The sequence below is a fragment of the Homo sapiens genome, chromosome 8, assembly GCF_000001405.40.
Source record: "Homo sapiens chromosome 8, GRCh38.p14 Primary Assembly".
Classification (NCBI taxonomy): Eukaryota; Metazoa; Chordata; class Mammalia; order Primates; family Hominidae; genus Homo; species Homo sapiens.
The window spans coordinates 1,679,841-1,700,709 of record NC_000008.11 but is presented as its reverse complement, the minus strand read 5'-3'; the positions used below and the strand labels follow the sequence as shown (position 1 = coordinate 1,700,709).

The following is a 20,869-nucleotide window of genomic DNA, read 5'->3' as shown; positions in this document are numbered from 1 at the left end:
GCGGGGAAACACTGGCCCGATTCGCTAATTGGCCTAAAATCCCATTGACGTGGACGATATTTATAAAACCACTATTCACTTGCCTGCTTTGTAAAAAGACGCAAGTATTTCTCACCCTTAGCTCAGACTCTCAGATAAGTCACGCTAAAATACGTGTATGCCGTTTTAGATAAATCTCACAATTATGCAACACATGCAAAGGGTAATGCTTGCACTTGTTCCCACAAAAGGTCTGTGTCCCTAACTCTGCGATTCACATTGTTCCTAAAGACAGTGGGACCTGCCCCGTGATTCACATTGTTCCTAAAGACAGTGGGACCTGCCCCGTCTCCCCTTCTGGACAGAGCCATGACAGGGACTCTCCGTAGCCAGCTGTTTCCTTCCCAGGAAAGGGCACACGGCAGAAGGCGTCAGAACCACTTTCCTAAGCAGATATCTAGTTTTGGGGGAGAAAAACAGGAAAACTCCACTCATGTCTTTTTCTCTTCAGCCTCTGAAAAATTCCAAAGGGAGCCCAGAGGTGCTTGTAGATTGGGGGAAGACAGGCAGTTGTGTGAGTACGGAGGAGGCCTGTGGCAAGAAGCCTGCTTTGGTGTCTGGAACTTTGTTCCCTCGGCTTGTTTTACGTGACTAGGCCAGAAGCAATGACTCTTACCTGACTTCTTGGCATCCATCTAAAACAATGGGGGGGATCAGTTCATTGAAACCTTCAGCTACTTTAACAAGTAATTCCTTTTTTCAGCACATAACTGTCCTCATAGTTCAGGGGATGCCAAGAGAAAAGGAGAGAAGAGGATCTGTTTCCTCTTTTGGTGTCCCCTGAACTGTGAGCCTGTGAGATGTACACATCAGTATTTCCTGTGGGGGTTCCCCAATCAAAGGAGCTTCCAGGCCTGTGGGTGTGGCACTGTAGGAGTGTCCAGCAGATGCTGTGCAGGGCCCATCCCAGGGAATTTTTAAGACGCCGTGTTCAGGAGGGGCAGGGCCTCCTGTTCAGGCACGGAGCCTCTGCTGTGCTGGAGATCTGCTCGCTTTCTGGACTGGCGTGCTCTGCCCTCAGCGAGAAACCATTTCCATTTTCTTTCTTTTTTTTTTTGAGACAGAGTCTCACTCTGTTGCCTAGGCTGCAGTGCAGTGGCACGATCTTGGCTCACTACAAGCTCTGCCTTCCGGGTTCACTCCATTCTCCTGCCTCAGCCTCCTGAGTAGCTGGGACTACAGGCGCCCACCACCACGCCTGGCTAATTTTTTTTTTTTTTTGTATTTTTAATAGAGACAGGGTTTCACCGTGTTAGCCAGTATGATCTTGATCTCCTGACCTCATGATCCACCTGCCTAGGCCTCCCGAAGTGCTGGGATTACAGGCGTGATCCACTGTGCCCGGCTAATTTTGTGTATTTTTAGTAGAGATGGGGTTTCACCGTGTTAGCCAGGATGGTCTTGATATCCTGACCTCGTGATCCACCCACCTTGGCCTCCCAAAGACGTTTCCATTTTGAGAATCATACTCTATGCGCAGCTTGGGTAGATGGGCTCACGTTTGCTCTCAATGACCAAAGAATGGAGACTAGACGGAACCATCGTGTGCACCTGGGCTAACTTCAGTACGTTCCGTTTGAACAGCCTTCTCCCTCAGGAGCATCACTGATCATCTCCTTCACCTCAGATCCAAACCGTGGCTTACACGGACCTGTCTAGTCCCACACATGGGTTATGTGGACCTGCCTAGTCCCATGCATGGCTTACATGGACCTGTCCCATGCATGGCTTATGCAGACCTGCCTAGTCCCATGCATGGCTTACTGGGACCTGTCTAGTCCCATGCATGGCTTACGCAGACCTGCCTAGTCCCACACATGGCTTACATGGACCTGTCCCCTGCATGGCTTATGTGGACCTGCCTAGTCCCATGCATGGCTTACACAGACCTGTCCCAAACATGGCTTACTTGGACTTGTCTAGTCCCACACATGGCTTATGTGGACCTGTCCCATGCATGGCTTATGTGGACCTGCCTAGTCCCATGCATGGCTTACACTGACCTGTCCCACGCATGGCTTACTTGGACCTGTCTAGTCCCATGCAGGGCTTACATGGACCTGTCCCAAGCATGGCTTACTTGGACCTGTCTAGTCCCATGCATGGCTTACTTGGACCTGTCTAGTCCCATGCATGGCTTACATGGACCTGTCCCATGTGTGGCTTACGTGGACCTGCCTAGTCCCACGCATGGCTTACGTGGACCTGTCCCATGCATGGCTTACGTGGACCAGCCTACTCCCATGCATGGCTTACTTGGACCTGCCTAGTCCCACGCATGGCTTACGTGGACCTGTCCCATGCATGGCTTACGTGGACCTGCCTAGTCCCACACATGGCTTACATGGACCTGTCCCACACATGGTTTAAGTGGACCTGCCTAGTCCCATGCATGGCTTATGTGGACCTGTCCCACGCATGGCTTACGTGGACCCTGTGCACTCCCACCTCACTCCCCTGTCGTCTGGGATGAGAGGGAACCTGTGGATCCATTGCATCTGGCCTGGAACTCCACTAGTGGCCAGGGCACCTTCTGGGAGGAGCCGATGATGATGACCACTAGATCTGGCTCTCGTTCTCATGACCCAGGTGTGCATCCTTGCTGGATACCAAACACCACTTCCCCAAAGGATGCTGACTTGATTTTCTTTATCATTTTAATTAATAACATTTGTCTAGAAAAATCCATTTATGGTTCCTCAGGACGTCTTTAAAACGTGTGAGGAAATCTATGTCTTTGCTGCTAACTCAGAACTATCTACTAGTTCTTCTGATGACAGCATCACGGAAGAAGTGAAATGCCAGGGTTCAGATTTAATGGCAAATTTCAGCCTATTTTAAGGGTTGAGGCTGATGGATCTACAGGAAGATTAATTCATCAAACGGTTCAATAAGGTATAAAATGTCGCCTTGCCTATAGTGGCCATACTAGAAGGTATATTGAATAGGAGATAGTCCATAACCAGGCCTAAAACTTTCCCTGTGGGAAGCCAGCTTAATATTTACACAATGAGAACAAGTTTGATAAAGATAATTCATAGGTGAGACCCCTGTCAGGAATGAGGCTGCAGGTTTGCTTGTGATCTTGGCTAGTGTCTCTCTGAAAGGCTTATATAGAAGAGACAGAGCAGGGGAGACCCTATTATTTACCACCCATGCCCAAGGCTTCAATTCTGCCCCATTTTCGGCACATGCACACACACGCACACACATGTGCGTATACACATGTGCACACATACATAGAGGGAAATTTGCTCGTGTGTTGCCAGCAAAAGACTGAGAACCCCGTTGTCATGCTCTATCTGCAGCAGGTCGTTAGTGCAGTGAGAAAGGGGGTTTGCTGGGAGCCGGCCCTGCATGGATGCCCTTACCTTTCTTTCCGGGGACTCCATCATCTTCCAGTCGTTGAGCCGCAGCCGCTGCAGCTCGTCGAACTTCATGCTGACGTCCTCAATGGAGAGCTGCAGCATGTCCCAGTAGCCGGCCAGGTCCTGCGACGTCGGCCTCGGCATGGCGCTGGGGTCCTGGGGACACACACAGGGTGTTCAGAGCCAGGAGAGTCTCCTGCGGGCACAGGGCTGGGGAGGCCACTCCTCCCCACGCATGCCTTTCAAGAGGCGGATTAGGGAGAAGCCTGGCTAATTCCAGCCTGAGGCAGATACTTGGGAAGGCCATGCTTCCATGACAGTTTACTTTAGCACACGTATTTGCTGTCGGCCTAAAAACACGTAGCACAGCTGTTCATTGTTCCACGTTGAAAATGCTGGGAATGGGGCAGATGGGAGAGTTTCTAAATGCTTCACAGCTCATAAAAGCAGTAGGAGCCTGTGTTTTTGGTCACCTGTGGATGATTCGGAAGGGACAGGGCTCCGTGAGCCTGCCGTGGTATTGGCCTGGTGGTGGCAGTGGGGAACCAGCTTGGAGCCCATTCTATACCTGCTTGTTCTCTGACGGCTCTTAGCTCTCGTTCTTACGGTGATGACACCTTACAAATGTAATGCGCCAAGGAACAGGATGCTCTCACCAACCGGCGCCCACACTTAGGAGGCACAGGTGACGCTGCTGGGCTGCAGCCCTGGGCCGAGTGGCCCAGAGACGTGCTTGGTTTCTCTGCCCAGTGCCTGACAGATACATGATTTCCACCAGCTGCCTACATTTATGTATGTTATTTTTGAGACAGGGTCTTTCTCTGTCGCCCAGGCTGGAGCACAGGTGTGATCATGGCTCACTGCAGCCTCTACCTCCTGGGCTGAAGGGATCCTGCCTGCTCAGCCTCCCAAGTAGCTGGGACCACAGGCATAGGTCACTACACCCAGCTAATTTCTTTAATTTTGTAGCAATGGGGTCTGGCTGTGTTGCCCAGGGTGGCCTCAAACTCCTGGGCTCAAGCAACCCTCTTGCCTCAGCTTCCCAAAGTGCTGGGATTACAGGGTGAGCCACCGTGCCCGGCTTGCTCCCTACATTGAAATCTGAATGATTTTTCCAGGTGTGGCTCCCTTGATTCAGTGGGGATTTAAAAGAGTCAGAGGAGGTTCTGGTGGGTCAACATTCAACTGGATTTGCTTATGGTTTCAGCAGTGCACACTCAGCATGCTCAGTGAAGAGCATGCTGAACGGACAGCTCTGCGATTCCTCACCCAGAGCCAGGACCTGGGGCCCCCAGCTGCCCTCCGCGCGGCTGAGCCCATTCTTCTCTGCAGCCACACGAGGGCAGCCTTGGCCACTCAAAGCCCCCCCAGGCACTTGAGGAGCTCCCCAGGAGGGCGGCCCTGGCCAGCGGCTGGGAGCCCGAACTCAGCCTCTGTGGGTGGGGATAACTAAAGTGCCTGGCAAGGAGGCCACGTTCTGCACCGAAGTCAGTCGAGGGATGCCAGGAGCTGCAGCCTCAGGGCAGGCCAGGCCAGGTGACAAGCAGCAGGGGAGGCTGCTCAGAGGCTGTAGGGGTGGTTCCTACCTGGCTTCCAGAAGTCTTCGCCAACCTAAGAACATCCCCTCTTTCTGTAGGGCTGGGCACAGCTGTGCCCCTCTTTCTGTAGTGCCGGGCATGGCTGTGCCCCCTCTTTCTGTAGGGCCGGGCAAGGCTGTGCCCCCTCTTTCTGTAGGGCCGGGCATGGCTGTGCCCTCTCTTTCTGTAGGGCCGGGCATGGCTGTGCCCCCTTTCTGTAGGGCCGGGCATGGCTGTGCCCCCTCTTTCTGTAGTGCCAGGCATGGCTGTGCCCCCTCTTTCTGTAGGGCCGGACATGGCTGTGCCCCCTCTTTCTGTAGGGCCGGGTAAGGCTGTGCCCCCTCTTTCTGTAGGGCCGGGCATGGCTGTGCCCCCTCTTTCTGTAGGGCCGGGCATGGCTGTGCCCCCTTTCTGTAGGGCCGGGCATGACTGTGCCCCCTCTTTCTGTAGGGCCGGGCATGGCTGTGCCCCCTGTTTCTGTAGGGCCGGTCATGGCTGTGCCCCTCTTTCTGTAGGGCCGGGCACGGCTGTGCCTGATGGTGTGGGGGAAGCGGAGTGGCTTCTCCTCCCTCGCCCGCAGCTGGGTGGTCCTGGTCACATCTCCTGGGGGATGAAGGAGGAACATGGCCGGCCACTGTGGCAGAGGCTGCCTGAGAGCAGGCATCGCCTTCCCGTGCCCCCCTCCTCTCCTCGGCAACAACACACCCGTCCTTTGGGCTCACCCAGACCACATGCTGGGGCCGGACGGGCACAGCCTGGCATGGTCAGGGTTTGGTTTTGTCTTCTGTTCTCTTTTGGTTGGGGAGGTGGTTGCATCTGAATCCACTGAACATTCAGAGATGATAAGGTGTTTATAATAAAAAAAAAAAGTCAATGGTTGTGCCATGCCATTCCCTTTCCCCCAGCAAACTCATGCAGGGCCTCTTTCCTTGTGAAATTGCCGTCTTTTAAATTCACACAGCTCTGTGGCTCTGGCATCCGGCGTCCATTGGATAGGAACTTCGGTGCCCCGTGTGGCCTGGGGCAGCTCTCTGTGCGCCGGCACCTGCTCAGGCACACACCCCCCGGGGTTGGATGGAGTTAAAATTCAGAGGCAGGCTCAGTGGGTGTGAATGAGACTAAGTTTCTGGGGACACCAAACTGCTGGTCCCACAAGCACAGCAATCAGGCCACACGCTTTGAGGTTAAGTTATTTCCGGTATTATGTGCCTTCTGGTTGTGTCACAAGCCACCTGCACATCCCGACCCTGAGAGGCTCTGCCCCCCGCGGTCCGTCCCGAAAGGCTCCGCTCCCTGTGGTCAGTCCTCAATCTCGGGCTGGGGTTCTGACATTTTCTAGGGTCGCTCTTTGACTTAAAGCTTAGTTACCTACCAACAACTTCCAGCAGACAGCGGTGCTACTTTGCGCTGCGGACCATTTGGCTTTGATGAGCGAAGCATCTCTTAACAAGTCAACACTCCTCTCCTGCCAGGCCTGTCTCAGGCACCACCCCTCCCTGTACCACTCTTCCGCCCCAAACGTGTCAAAGTGTTTTTCTACTAATCCTGAATAGAAGTTGAAAGAAAAGGATGTAGCCAAGCCAGCTATTTTAAAACTCAAAAGGCATAACAAATATTAGGATGAACAATTTTAAGCCAAATATTAGCTATTTCTGGCAGAGCAGAAAGGAACATTTAGCAGGTCTGAATATGCACCTTGGGCTGTGTGTGGGAAGCTTTGGATGAGCATTCCTAAAGACAGTGCCTGCCTAGGCTCACCCGAGTCTGCATAATGTTACACAGAGTTCGTCAGTGGCCCGAATCAATTCCTTTAAAGGTAATAATCAAATAGATACTATGGAGGAGGCAAGAACGTTCACAGGTGACATGGCAGCTGAATGTTTACACAGTTACAGGCTTCTTTCGAGGCACTCAAAACCTTTCTATTTCCCTCTTTTAAATGATGATTATAACTTTGTCAGAGTGATGTGTTGGTGACTCTTTAAAATCGCCGTGAACTTCAGTGGGGTTGATTGGAAAGTATTAGAGAAGGCATACTTTTTAATGATCCTAAGGAAAAGACATGAGATGGCAACTCTGGCTTGCTTGTGCATCCTTTGATGTGTAAGAATATTCTTATGTCTCCTTGCACGTGAAAAAGCCAAGGAAAACATCATCAAAACACCTGGCACCATTGCTACGCGAGGCCTAGAGAAGACCTATTTGCATTTGACTGAAAATGTTTGGTCTGAAAAGAAATCGATGTATGTATTATAAAACAACTTATTAAGTAGCATAACTATTATTTACTATTTCTCAAAATAGTGAATACTTTAGTCAGCCAAGGAAAAGTATACATGTATGTGTGTAGGCAAATATATAGTATATATAAAATATATTAACATGTATATGTAAACTTAGATATACAGTATATATAGAATGTATATGTATGCATGTGTGTAGGCAAATGTATATATAAAATATATTACCATGTAAACTTACATGTTTTATATATACTGTATATTTGCCTACACACATACTATATATTTTATATATACTATATATTTGTATATATAAAATATGTAGTTAATGTTATATATTTGTTATATGTTAATGTTTAGCATGTATATATAAGGATACATAAGTAAAATTTCATATACATGTTAATATATATGTTTATATATAAATACACCTATATATGTTTATATATAGGTGTATATATAAACATATAGATGCATATGATTATAATCTTGTATACATCTAATATATATGAGATGTATATATGAGCTTTTCTGCTCTGCCAGAAATAGCAAATATATATTTATATATTAATATGTGTATATATATTTATATATAAGCATATGTAAGTATATATTAACATGTATATATGTAAGTATATGTAAATATATATGTGGTTTTTCTTTTTGTTTGCTTGTCAGGAATAACCAAGTTTAACGTCAACTGTATTAATCATCTAGTTCATGGTATATTCGTTTCACTACCGACTATAAAATACAAAGGCTAAATTATTTGCAAAATCTCTTCTTAATCTCTTCATTGTAGTTGTTTATGTATTTTTATTTCCAGGCACCTTAGATCATTTTCTTCATTTGTGACATTAGACGTAATAGAAATTTCCCTTGTTTCTCCTCTTCTAAGATGCTCTGGTGGGGCATCCAGTTGCAAAGACACAGTGTCACGCCGCGCTGCTGCAGCCCGCCTCTTCCTGTCCTCCACTCCCCCTTGCAGCCTCCCTGCCTCGGTACTGCTTAAACCAGGGCCATATCCACCTCCCTGCCTCGGTACCGCGTTTAAACCAGGGCCGTATCCGCCTCCCTGCCTCGGTACCGCGTTTAAACCAGGGCCGTATCCGCCTCCCTGCCTCGGTACCGCGTTTAAACCAGGGCCGTATCCGCCTCCCTGCCTCGGTACCGCGTTTAAACCAGGGCCGTATCCGCCTCCCTGCCTCGGTACCGCGTTTAAACCAGGGCCGTATCCGCCTCCCTGCCTCGGTACCGCGTTTAAACCAGGGCCGTATCCGCCTCCCTGCCTCGGTACCGCGTTTAAACCAGGGCCGTATCCGCCTCCCTGCCTCGGTACCGCGTTTAAACCAGGGCCGTATCCGCCTCCCTGCCTCGGTACCGCGTTTAAACCAGGGCCGTATCCGCCTCCCTGCCTCGGTACCGCGTTTAAACCAGGGCCGTATCCGCCTCCCTGCCTCGGTACCGCGTTTAAACCAGGGCCGTATCCGCCTCCCTGCCTCGGTACCGCGTTTAAACCAGGGCCGTATCCGCCTCCCTGCCTCGGTACCGCGTTTAAACCAGGGCCGTATCCGCCTCCCTGCCTCGGTACCGCGTTTAAACCAGGGCCGTATCCGCCTCCCTGCCTCGGTACCGCGTTTAAACCAGGGCCGTATCCGCCTCCCTGCCTCGGTACCGCGTTTAAACCAGGGCCGAATCGTCTCTTTCCCCAGGGCGGGAAGCCTCTTCTGTAGTAAGTGCACGTGATATTCCGCATACCGATGGGAACTCTTTGACAAGGAAGAAAACAATGAGAATCTGTGGAATGATGCCCATTAGCTTGGTTACAGGGAACAGGGGTTCACTGAGGATTCACTTACCATATTCTGTTGGCAAAGCCAATAAAACTGCTGGAATTTCTGGGACATGAGAAGCTGGGCACTCCCAACAGCACTCCTGATTTTACCGAGAACTGTTTAAAACAAAAACAAAAACAAAAAAACAACAACTTCAAAACTGGGTCAATTACACAAAAGCAGAAACATCACACCAAGGGAGCGAGTCCCACTGGAGATGAAAACTGACGACTTCATCGTGCCGAGCGTGTTCGCTGGTGACTCGTGCCTTAGTGTGCTCGTCCCCAACTCATGAAGGAAATCCAGAGATGACCAGATGTCACTGTGAGGACATTCTCCTTGGGTACTGGGAGAAACTTAGTTTAGAAAGGCGGCCTATACCTCAGGGAGTTTTCCTTATTTTGGCATCGAGATTATTTCAGTGCTGCTGTTTGGATGAGCTGGAAGACACAAGAACACGTGTGAGTGAAAGCAACATCGAGTTCTTCCTATTTTTATGGACTCTAACATGTTAGTGAACTCTTTTAGATGTGAATTCCTTCATTTTTAGAAAAAACACATCCATATGGGTTCTCTCATTGGATTCAATTAAATAATTTCTAATGAACTGTGGGCAGTTATCTCCTGGCAGTGCTGTGAGGTGTGTGTTACGTAGGAAGAGGCTGCGTGGACAGAGGCCTCACAGGAAGGTCGTAGCACGTAGGAAGATGTGGCTTCCCTCCTGGAGATGGTAAAAGGGTCACAAGTTACTGAATATGCTCACAGCTACTAAACTCACCAATCCATGTACCCAGTATATGTGTAATGCTAACGCTACATTTCTGAGTGTGCTATGAGTCAGCAGGCCACAGTTCAGTAGGAAGAATTAATCTACAAATGGTTCCTAATTGCAATGACTTTATTTGGTTAATCAAATACTAATTTTTTTTTTTTTTTTTTTTTTTTTTGAGATAGGGTCTCCCTTTATCGCCCAGGCTGGAGTGGAGTGGCGCAATCCTGGCTCACTGCAACCTCCACCTCCCAGGTTCAAGCAATTTTCTGGCCTCAGCCTCCCAAGTAGCTGGGATTACAGGTGCATGCCACCATGCCTGGCTAATTTTGTATTTTTAGTATAGATGGGGTTTTTCCATGTTGGTCAGGCTGGTCTCGAACTCCCGACCTCAGGTGATCCACCCATCTCAGCCTCCCAAAAAGCTGGGATTACAGGCGTGAGCCACCGTGCCTGGCTGTAAAGTTTTTTAAAAGAATATACTGTATGTGTGTGTGTTTATTTTGTTTTATTTATTTATTTTCTTGAGATGGAGTCTCGCTCTGTCACCTAGGCTGGACTGCAGTGGCGTCATCTTGGCTCACTGCAGCCTCCACCTCCTGAATTCAAGTGATTCTCCTGCCTCAGCCTCCCGAGTAGCTGGGATTACAGGTGCATGCCACCATGCCTGGCTAATTTTTGTATTTTTAGTAGAGACAGCGTTTCACCATGTTGGCCAGGCTGGTCTCGAACTCCTGACCTCCGGTGATCAGCCCGCCTTGGCCTCCCAAGGCCAAGGATTACAGGCGTGAGCCACCGCACCCGGCCCCACACCCTCTCTTGAGTCTGCTGTCAGCATGGTCACCACTTTGTAAACAGCTGCTTTGGTAGATCCTAGCTCACCATGATCCTCAAAACCACACAGGAATCGACTGGAACCCATTTCTTACCAGTGCACCCTGGGCCCACTGATCTCTGCTGGATATTATTTGCCAGAGCAACAATTCACCGTTCTTCCATAGAGCGTGCCCAGTACACGTATGTGGCTTTTCTGTGCCTGGGTCAGCACGTGGGGCCAGGGCTGCCCACCAGGCAGGGGGCAGATGATCTACGCATCTCATCACCTCTCAGTTCACACCACGTCTCCCCATCACTGGCTTTCAGCGTGGGCCCTTCAAGGTGGGGCCGTCTTTCCTGAGCTGGCTCACGGGGCGTCATCTGCGTCTTCTGGCCAAGCTGATGATTCCACCTGCTCTTTTTGCTCTCCCTGGAGAGTCTCTGCAGAGCACAAATCACTAACCTACACGACACACCCTAAAACTGAAAGTGCTGCGGTTTAACTAGCCCAGCCCTTTCTCCTGCTTCCGTTGGAAGGAAGCCATGGGAAGCTGACTCTCCAAGGCTGGTGGAAAATGGTGTAGGAAAAGGGGGCATTTATCCTGGAGATTTGCCCCCTTGAACGCAGAGGCGAGAGATCCATCCCCACTTAATCTGTGGCTTTACGTACTTCACAAGGGAATACCGATGTGCTGGAGGTTTTGCCTAGACACATGCAGGTGCTTGGAGCTCAAGGGGCCTTGCAGACCCACCTGTGCCTCACCTGGGGATCTTGTGCCGGGCATGGCCTGACTCACGGGGTCCGGGTCGGGCCAGAAAGTCCGTTTCTTTCTACGTTTAGGAGATGCCCCTGCTGGCTCCCAGGGCACACCTGACTGTGGAAGCCTAGACAGCCTTTCCAGAAGTCGAAACCGAGGTCCAGGGAAGTGAACCCAATCCTCGTGTAGGTTCTTCCACAACAGCTCTTCCCCCAAACATTCCTTAACAGTCAGTCCTAGAGACAGTTACTGGTGAGATTCATTGCACACGATCCAGAAACTGGCATCCTGCTGCCCAAGCCAGGGTGCTGCAGTGTCTCCTCCTTAGCCCGACTTTCGGGAAAAAGAACCGCATTTCATGGGCACAAAGGGTCTTAATGTTCATGTAATAAAATGCTATGAGCCAGTTGAAAATGACGTTGCAGAGATAACCTTGATTTGAAAGGGCTTATGGCACGCCGTGACCCAGAAGTCAACTACACAGCAGTGTGTGCGGTGCCTCCCTCATTTTTTAGAACATGAAGGTCTGGCAATCTGTACCATGTGTTCTTCAAAGTGATTTTCTCCTGGGTAGGATAATGGACTTAAAAACCTATTTTTCTGTCTTGTCTTATTTTTCTAAAATGAAGATTGTTTTGCTCCCCAAAGTTTTATTATGAAACCTTTCACACATGCAGAAAATGGGAAAGAAGAGTATAACCCACAGCTCCCTCCCCATTCCGTGGAGACGGCAGTAAGTGTTGTCCTGTGTTCTCTCTTCCTGAGGCCTTTACCTGCGACCACCTTGTAGACCCAGGGCCACTGTCACCCCCACGAAGGTGACAATAGTTCCTGAATATCACCTAATTCTCCATTGCTTCTAGGGTATGAAAAAGATGAAAAAAGCATAACTTTTAATAAAAGCAAGTAACTCGGATAACACTTTGGCATTGTTTCTGTCTTGAAAAGAAGGATGGAAGGTTGTCTGTCGGGCATCTTAACACCGGGGCCTTGTGCCGTTCACAAATCCACTTCAAGACAGGCTGCTCTTCCTTGGATCTGATTTACCAGCCAGCCTGGGAACAGAGAAGGGAGGGGAGGACTGGAGAAGGAAGCCAGGAGCCCCTGGCCACATGGCACGGGATGGAGCTGGCAGGGCTCTGAGTTGGGGTGAGTCTGGGGGTGAGGGGAGTGGAGGGGCCGCTGCAGTCGGTCGAGAAGCAGCTGGAGGCGGTGGGGTTTGAGTGGTTTCTTGACAGGGGTGACAGTGAAAGCTCCTCATCCTTCCTGTGCATTCCACTGCCCCCAAAATGAACGTGTTCTGCAGCCCTGGACTCGCTGATGACGAGGGGAGGAATCATCTTTGCTTTTGAAATGTTGAATTTCTATTTCTTTTGTATTCTAAAACCTGGGTAATTAATGAAGATATTTAAAGGGACTATTTTAAGTAAGTCGTTGCTGCAGAAATATATAGAAGTGGATGAATAAATGAATTTATTTTGCCAACTCTATGCTTCCTCAAACTGTAATTTAAAAGTCAATCAGTTTCTTAAAATTTGAAGTTTAATTCCCAATTTTCACATTCCCCTTAAAATGGAATTCAACTGAACTGTTAATACAAAGTACTTCAATTTATACTCTTTAACACAACATGAACACATGGGCAAAATCTTGGTATCGATTTAATGTAGTGGAGAGTTATTATAAAGGGAATAAATTGAATATTGCTAGGGAGAGATAATGAATGTCAAAAAGTGTAGCTAATGACATGCCTGCTAATGGTAGGAGAATTTTGCTGTTCAGTGAGTGAGAATGATCCTATCTGATGCCTATAATGTAAGTAGCTTCCTATAATTGCAAAGAAGTTGAAGTGAAAATTCAATTTATTCTCTCCCAGTATATGTCTCTAATTTTGCCATAGTTTAGACACTTGCAGGAGCTATACTAAGGACTAATTCTCATCAGAATGCAAATTCACAAAGAACCTGCTAGAACCCTTGCCTTCCATGTACAAAGAAATTTGATTAACACACTTGGCTCTTTTATTTTTTCTATAATTCCAATTCTATCTAAATTTGGTATGAAGTAACATAATTCACACTATTCTGGTGTTCTAATATTTGAGATGGATTTTTATAAAATTTGCAGAGAGTCGGAAATGATCATTTGAGTATTTGTAACCCCTGTGATCCCCTGAGATTCCCTTGTAACTAATTTTGTAGTGGGGTCTGCCTAAGCTATGGCTCCCAGAAATCTCCTTTCAAGATCTCGAGCCTCATGATTTTCATGTTTTTGAGCACGTTTCTGTGTGTTTTTAATGGATTTATCACAGTTGTACATATTATTGGGGGCACATATGATATTTGAACAGATGTCTACAGTGTGCTAAGATCAAATCAGGATGACTGGGACGTGCATCACCTCAAACATTTATGTGTGTGTGTTGGGAACATTACAATTCTTCTAGCTAGTTTGAAATACATGATACATTATTAACCATGTTTTCTTACTGTACTATTGTATACTAGAACTTATTTCTTCCACCTAACTGTATTTTTGTACCCATTAGTATGAATCAACTTCTCTTCCTCCTCTCTCCTGTTCCGGTAACCACCAATCTACTCTCCACCTTCATGAGCTCTGCTTTTTTTTTTTGGATGGGGTCTCCCTCTTGTTGCCCAGGCTGGAGTGCAGTGGCGTGATCTTGGTTCACTGCAACCTCTGCCTCCCAGGTTCAAGCGATTCTCCTGTCTCAGCCTCCTGAGTAGCTGGGATTGGGATTACAGGCGTGCGCCACCATGCCTGGCTAACTTTTGTATTTTTAGTTGAGACAGGGTTTCACCATGTTGGCCAGGCTGGTCTCAAACTCCTGACCTCAGGTGATCTGCCTGCCTTATCCTCCCAAAGTGCTGGGATTACAGGCATGAGCCACTGCGCCCGCCTGAGCTCTACATCAGAGTGAGATTACGCAGTGTTTATCTTTCTGTGCCTGGCTTATCTCACTTAACATAATAACCTCCAATTCCATCCATGTTGCTCCAAATGACAAGACTTAATTCCTTTTTTTATGGCTGAATAATATTCCACTGTGAATATTATTCACACACATTACTTTCTTACCACATTTTCTTTATCCATTTTTCTACTGATGGGAACCTAGGTCTCTTCCATATCTTGGCTAACATGAATAATGCTGCAATAAACATGTGGGTGCAGAAATCCCTTTGACATATGAATTTCCTTTTGTTTGGGTCTATGCCCAGCAGGACAATGACTGGATCACATGGTGGTTCTATTTCTAGTTTTTGAGAAATCTCTATACTGCTTTCCATAGTGGCTACTTCATATTCCAACCAGCAGTGTGCAAGCTTTCCCCTTACTCCGCACCTGTGACAGCATTTGCTGTTTTTTTGTCTTTGTGATAATAGCCATTCTAGCTGGGATGAGGTGACATCTCATCGTGGTTTTGATTTGCATTTTCCTGATGGTTAGTGGTGGTGAATCTTTTGTCACATACCTGTTGGCCCGTTGTATGTCTTCTTTTGAGAAATGCCTATTCAGGTCTTTTGCCCATTTTTGAATTTTTTTTTTTTTCTGTTATTTGAGCTCCTTGTATATTCTGGTTCTTAGTCCCTTGTCAGATGGGCAGTTTGCAGACATTTTCTCCCATTCTGTGAGTTGTCTTTTCACTCTGCTGTTTCCTTTTCCTGTGCTGACAAGCATCCATGTCTTTTTATTGTCTGATTTCCCCATGACCATTTAGTTGGGTTGTATGGCAACATCTTCATAGGTGCTTAGCAGAGGCCTGGTCAGTGGGTTGATTCTCTTAGTCTGATCCACAAAATGGACACAGTCTATGACCTGCATCTCCCAGGAGGTCTGGAAGCAGTGGACGTTCCATTAAGCTGTGTGATACATTGACCCCTAAGGCTGGTAGCTGCCAATATGTGCACAGGCATCTGCTGTGCTCAGAACGTCATCAGTATTTCTGATTCCTCAATCTTCTCTGTTGGTCTGATACCACCTGGGCCAACCATGGACACAGGCACAGTTCTCTGTGGCCATGTCATCCTCGTGCCCTGCATGGAGCATGTGTTCTGCTCATTCTCAGAGTCTCTCTGGGCTCTTTGTCAGCTGCTGACCGCTGTGTGAGTGCCAACTGCCGGGGTGCTTCTCCCCATCCAGACCATTTTGTCTCAGCATGGAAGATGGCCCAGGAGATACAAAGTCACACATCTGACCCCGGCTCTTGTGTTAATAGGACTTGTGGTCATTCTGGCTGTAAAAGGAGAACTTAGTGAGCAAATCCCTATGTTCCTCCCAGCATTAGTGTTTGCCTTGAATGTGCATCTGACCCGGTGAACATGTAGGTTATTCGTTACTTCGGGAGGAGTCATTTGGGGCAAGGAAGTTTCCGATACCGTTTGAAAGATCCTGTGTGTACATGTGCTCCCTTGGTGAGTTCTTGATGAGAGTTGCATCTCAATGGAATTATTCAATAAAGTCTTAGCTTGGGAAGGATTTCTTTTGTTTTAGAAAATATGCACATTTTTGATTTTTCCTTTATGTATTTACCCATTTGGTTTGACATAATACAAAAATCTTAAAACATTACTAATGATTTAATATCTTGAAAGTACTTTTATTAACAATAGGCAGCCTGCATTAATGTGACTTTATGCAGACCAGCATTTCTTTGGGTTCACTATAGATTTTATTAACCATAGAAGACTGACTGAATCTAGATTCATTCAATCAGTTCGGGGAACTGTGTTATGAAATTATATTTTGGGCAAAAATTACTTCATATAATGGAAATTTCAATATTCAGAGATCAGAGTTTTAGTCTCATAAGACATTTAATTTAATCTTTATTTTAAAAAGTACCATAACCAATAACCCTGTATCTGCTCCTAAAATTAGGACTGGAAATTAAGGTTATCATCTTACCTTTTAAACATTTAGGGAAATATCTGAACTTGATGAATATTGTGCTAGTTTTATGGACAAAACACACAGATGAGGGGCATAACAAGTGTTTTGACATCTGTCCACAAAAAGATGAAGGTATCTGGGCAATTTAAGAAATTAAGAAAATCACAAAAAGTATCAAGTTCATCCATTCTCTGTTCCTTGTGTTCAAAGTTTATAGCAATGCAGTTACATTTTCTGATTAAAAATTAGCCGGGTGTAGGGGCATTCAGCTGTAATCCCAGCTACTCAGGAGGCTGAAGCAGGAGCATTGCTTGAACTTGGGAGGCAGAGGTTGCAGTGAGCTGAGATCGCGCCACTGCGCTCCAGCCTTGGTGTCAGAGTGAGACTTCGTCTTAAAAAAAAAAGTATATATATATATATATATATATATATATATATACACACATATATATATACACATATATACACACATATATATATACACATATATGTGTATACACACACACACACACACACACACACACACACACACACACATATATATATATATATATATATAGTGGAGCAAAGACAAGGAAAATCAGGATCATTTCAGTGGATGTCTATAGAATGGGAAGTGTTGAAGCTACTCCCAGCCTCCATAACTGAGGATGGCGAGGTGATTCTCTGGGAGTCTAGATGTTCTGCTTTTATAAAGGTGTGAGCAGGAGTGTGGCATCCTGTTCGCTAAGACAGCCCATCCTCCTGCTTCCCTCTCTTCCTCCCCATTCCTATTGTCTGGCACTCTGTGCCAGGCGATGTGTGAGGCACTGTCTGTGGATGATAAATGTCAAATGTGGCCACTTCATTGAAGGAGCCTAAAATCTCAAATGACAGCAGAGGTGCGGAGCTTTAGGCAAGTTCCATCATCCCCCAGGGTATGGGGAATGCCCCGGCCACAGAAGGCTCTGTGAGGTCAGGTAGCACAGACCCTCCCCACAGGCAGGATGAAGGGCAGTGCTGACATGAAGATCTTCCTCCAGAGGAAGGAGACAAAGGGGCCTCTGTTCCCCAGTTCTCTGCCTCTGCGTGGACTCTTGAATCTCCTTTTCAGTCACCACCATCCACCACCTTGACCAAATCCAACCGCGTGTCAAGGCCCAGCACAGTGCCACCTTCTCCAGGAAGCCTTCTGAGAATCTTCCCAGGTGAAAGCATTGCTGAGACCTCTGAGTTTTTAAGTACTTTATCTGTACTTCTCTTATGACACTCAACAGTTTCCACTTCCTGTACCTGGTCTTCTCCCACTGTTAGGTAATCAGTTAGGTCCTTTACCATGTCTTACTCATTGTTGCATCATTTTTGTCTATCGGAGAGTGGCTTGCTTCGTCGTAAGTAATCAATAAATATCTATGGAATGTAGACATCACTGAGAGAGTCCAGAGGAGGATCCTGATGGCTCAAAAAAGGTAAAAAACAAGACAAAACAAAACAAAAATCCCACCACGAAACCAAACATATGTTTAGGGGAATATAATTTGGAGTCAGCAAAAATTAATTTTCCACCCTACCTTACTGAAGAAAAATAGTTTTTCAGATGCCTAATAATAAGGTAAGTGACACTGAAATACTAGATATCCTGGCTGGGCATGGTGGTTCATACCTGTAATCCTAGCACTTTGCAAGGGCAAGGGGGGCAGATCACTTGAGGCCAGGAGTTCACGATTATCCTGGCCAACATGGTGAAACTCCATCTCTACTAAAAATACAAAATTAGCCAGGTGCTGTGGTGCGTGTCTGTAGTCCCAGCTACTTGGGAGGCTGAGGCAGGAGAATCACTTGAACTCGGGAGGCTGAGGTTGCAGTGAGCTGAGATCGTGCCATTGCACTCCAGCCTGGGAGAAAGAGCAAGACTCCCTCTCAAAAAAAAAAAAATACTATATATCCTAAGATTTTGGAATCTTACTGTTGATTTGGGTCCCTATACGTCATCAAATTCAATTTTGTATGTAGTATTTTTATGGCATAATTTATAGAATATTCTGGAATGCCTCCAGTGACAGAAAACCAGGACTTACCATGACAGGGCCTCAGCACTAAAGCCCTTTGTAGGGACTTTCATTCTTGGTTTGAGAAATAATTTGCCTCCTTACAGCTCCTGCCACTTATTTTCCAATGGCTAACGCGGGAGAACCTTGGCCTCTGTCTTCGCAGCTGAGGGACTCTGTGGACCACACGTGGGTCACAGTCGTGGAGGACCAGAATGAGGTGAAGGGTCAGGGATGGGACACACCCTTGTCTGAAACAGCAGGTGAAAGGATGGGATGCACATCCAGCATGGAAGCAGGCAGTGGAGGGGGTGCTTCCCATAAGGGAACTTCTTGACTTGATGCCTTTGGACCGTGGGTGGAAAGGCAGAGCCTTCAATGTCAGAGGGCCGTGACTCCCAGTCCCAGATCACTGCTGGGAAGGCAGAGCGTTCAACGTCAGAGGGCCGTGACTCCCAGTCCCAGATCACTGCTGGGAAGGCAGAGCCTTCAACGTCAGAGGGCCGTGACTCCCAGTCCCGGGTCACCGCTACTATTCTGTGATTTGGGGCAAGATCTTAATCTCTCAGAGCCCCAGTTTATCTGTAGAATGCTTACAATACTACTCACCTAGTCCATTGGGATGAGCATTAATGAGGTCTGCAGTGCATTCGGCACAGGGCCTGACATATCATATGTGTTCAGGGAGAACTGGTCTAGATATTCTTTCTTTCTTTCTTTTTTGAGACAGGGTCTTGTTCTGCAGTGATGGTGAGATCTCGGCTCACTGCAGCCTCCACCTCTGGGGCTCAGGCAATCCTCCCACCTTAGCCTCCTGAGAAGCTGAGACTACAGGCATGTGCCACCACACCGGGCTACTTTTTAAAATGTTAATTATTATTATTATTATTTTTTTTGGTAGAGACAAGGTCTCACTGTGTTGTCCAGGCTGGTCTAAAACTCCTGGGCACAAGCAGTCCTCCCGCCTCAGCCTCACAAAGTGCTGGGATTACAGGTGTGAGCCACTGTGCCCAGCTGAGGATTCTATTTTTTTTTAAAAGATATCTTTTCAAAAATGATAATCCTTGAAAAAATGAAATTGAAAGTATGCACTAAACATGGAAAATGATGACAGGAGAAGTAGTCTCTGTGTTATCAACACAGTAATGGCTAATGTCTCAATGTCTTACACCTTCCAAAGAAGACTACAACTTTCTGAATGTGTCCCGAATGGGATAAACTCAAATGATAATAGGATACAATTTTATAGGCATTTTATGGGCTAAGCCCTGACAAACAAACATGACCTCTTTGTAAATTTTTTCCTCTCTCCTAAATTTTTTCCTCTCTCCTCCTCCTCAAAGGTGTTCTTTTGAGGAAACACATGGTGTAGAAAACACAGCTTGATTGAGTGACATGCAGGTCTCATCACCTGCTCTCATCCTGGAAGGAAGGCACCCCAGCCCTACGCTGCCCCTGTCAGCATGCACAAAACCAGAGCTGGCAATTTAATTTGGCGTCAACTTAGGCAATGCAGTTTTTCTGTGTTTTATCTTTGTGCTAAAGATTATAAATCCCTTTTATAATTAAGACAATTTGGCCAAGTTGAGGCATATACTAACAAGGGTGGAAGATGCTGCAGAAAATGAGTGATTTTTAGATATCAAAATTGTGAAGTTACTCTGTTAAATGTACCCTAACCATGAGAAATGCAAACGCCGTGTGAACGATCGGAACACGGCTGTGCTGACTTGCACCAGCCCCATGCAGCCGTGCTGCGGGGACTGTGGGTCACGTGGAAGGCAGCATCTCCCCAACATTCGGCGTCCATCGTCACCTCCTGTAAAGAATAGGTGGGATTTGATGATTAAGAGACAAATGTGGAAGAACAGGCTTAGTCAATTAAAGGCAATGTCTTTCTTTCTTCATAGGTTCAGACCTTAAGTTTTAACAATAAAAAATCAGCACGCCATTGATTTTCTCAGACTGCCGAGGCTCCAAGGCCGTTATTCTCTGTAAGTCATAGTCAATGTAGTTTCATTGTTGCACTTCTATTTCTAGGATTAGTGAATGCCCTATTAAAACAGCCATCTAGAAATGAAATGTCAGGGACAAATTCCCAAGGATCTCAGCTATCCTTTTGAAGTTCAGCATTTATAATGATCTTGTCAATGTACAAATAAATTCACAGAAAAAGAAAAATACTTAGACCGTAATTTGTCAAGACATTCAGAAATAGCTTTGTGAAATTGTACTGTGTTAAACATAAGCATTAGTTGTAGGTATTGTGCAATTATGTAATTGGTCTATAAACAAAGACAGGTGGTATTAGCTTAGAAGTCAATCAAATACAGCAATTTATAATGGGTGCTGCTTCTGAGCTCTTTTTTTTTTTTTTTTTTTTTTTTGAGACAGAGTCTCATTCTGTTGCCCAGGCTGGAGTGCAATGGCACGATCTTGACTCACTGCAACCTCTGCCTCCCAGGTTCAAGTGATTTTCCTGCCTCAGCCTCCCAAATAGCTAGGATTACAGGTACCCGCCACCAC

At 46.7% G+C, this 20,869-nt stretch overlaps 1 protein-coding gene across 1 annotated transcript in view; it reads right to left on the bottom strand.

Annotated features, from left to right (window-relative positions):
- DLGAP2 (DLG associated protein 2) overlaps positions 1 to 20,869 on the bottom strand; it is a 970,849-nt gene that overhangs the window by 7,767 nt on the left and 942,213 nt on the right. The window contains exons 13-14 of the mRNA NM_001346810.2: positions 9,084 to 9,175; positions 3,411 to 3,563 (exon numbers count right to left, since the gene is read on the bottom strand). Coding sequence (NP_001333739.1) covers positions 3,411 to 3,563; positions 9,084 to 9,175 — 245 coding nt within the window. The remainder of the gene's footprint in view (positions 1 to 3,410; positions 3,564 to 9,083; positions 9,176 to 20,869) is intronic.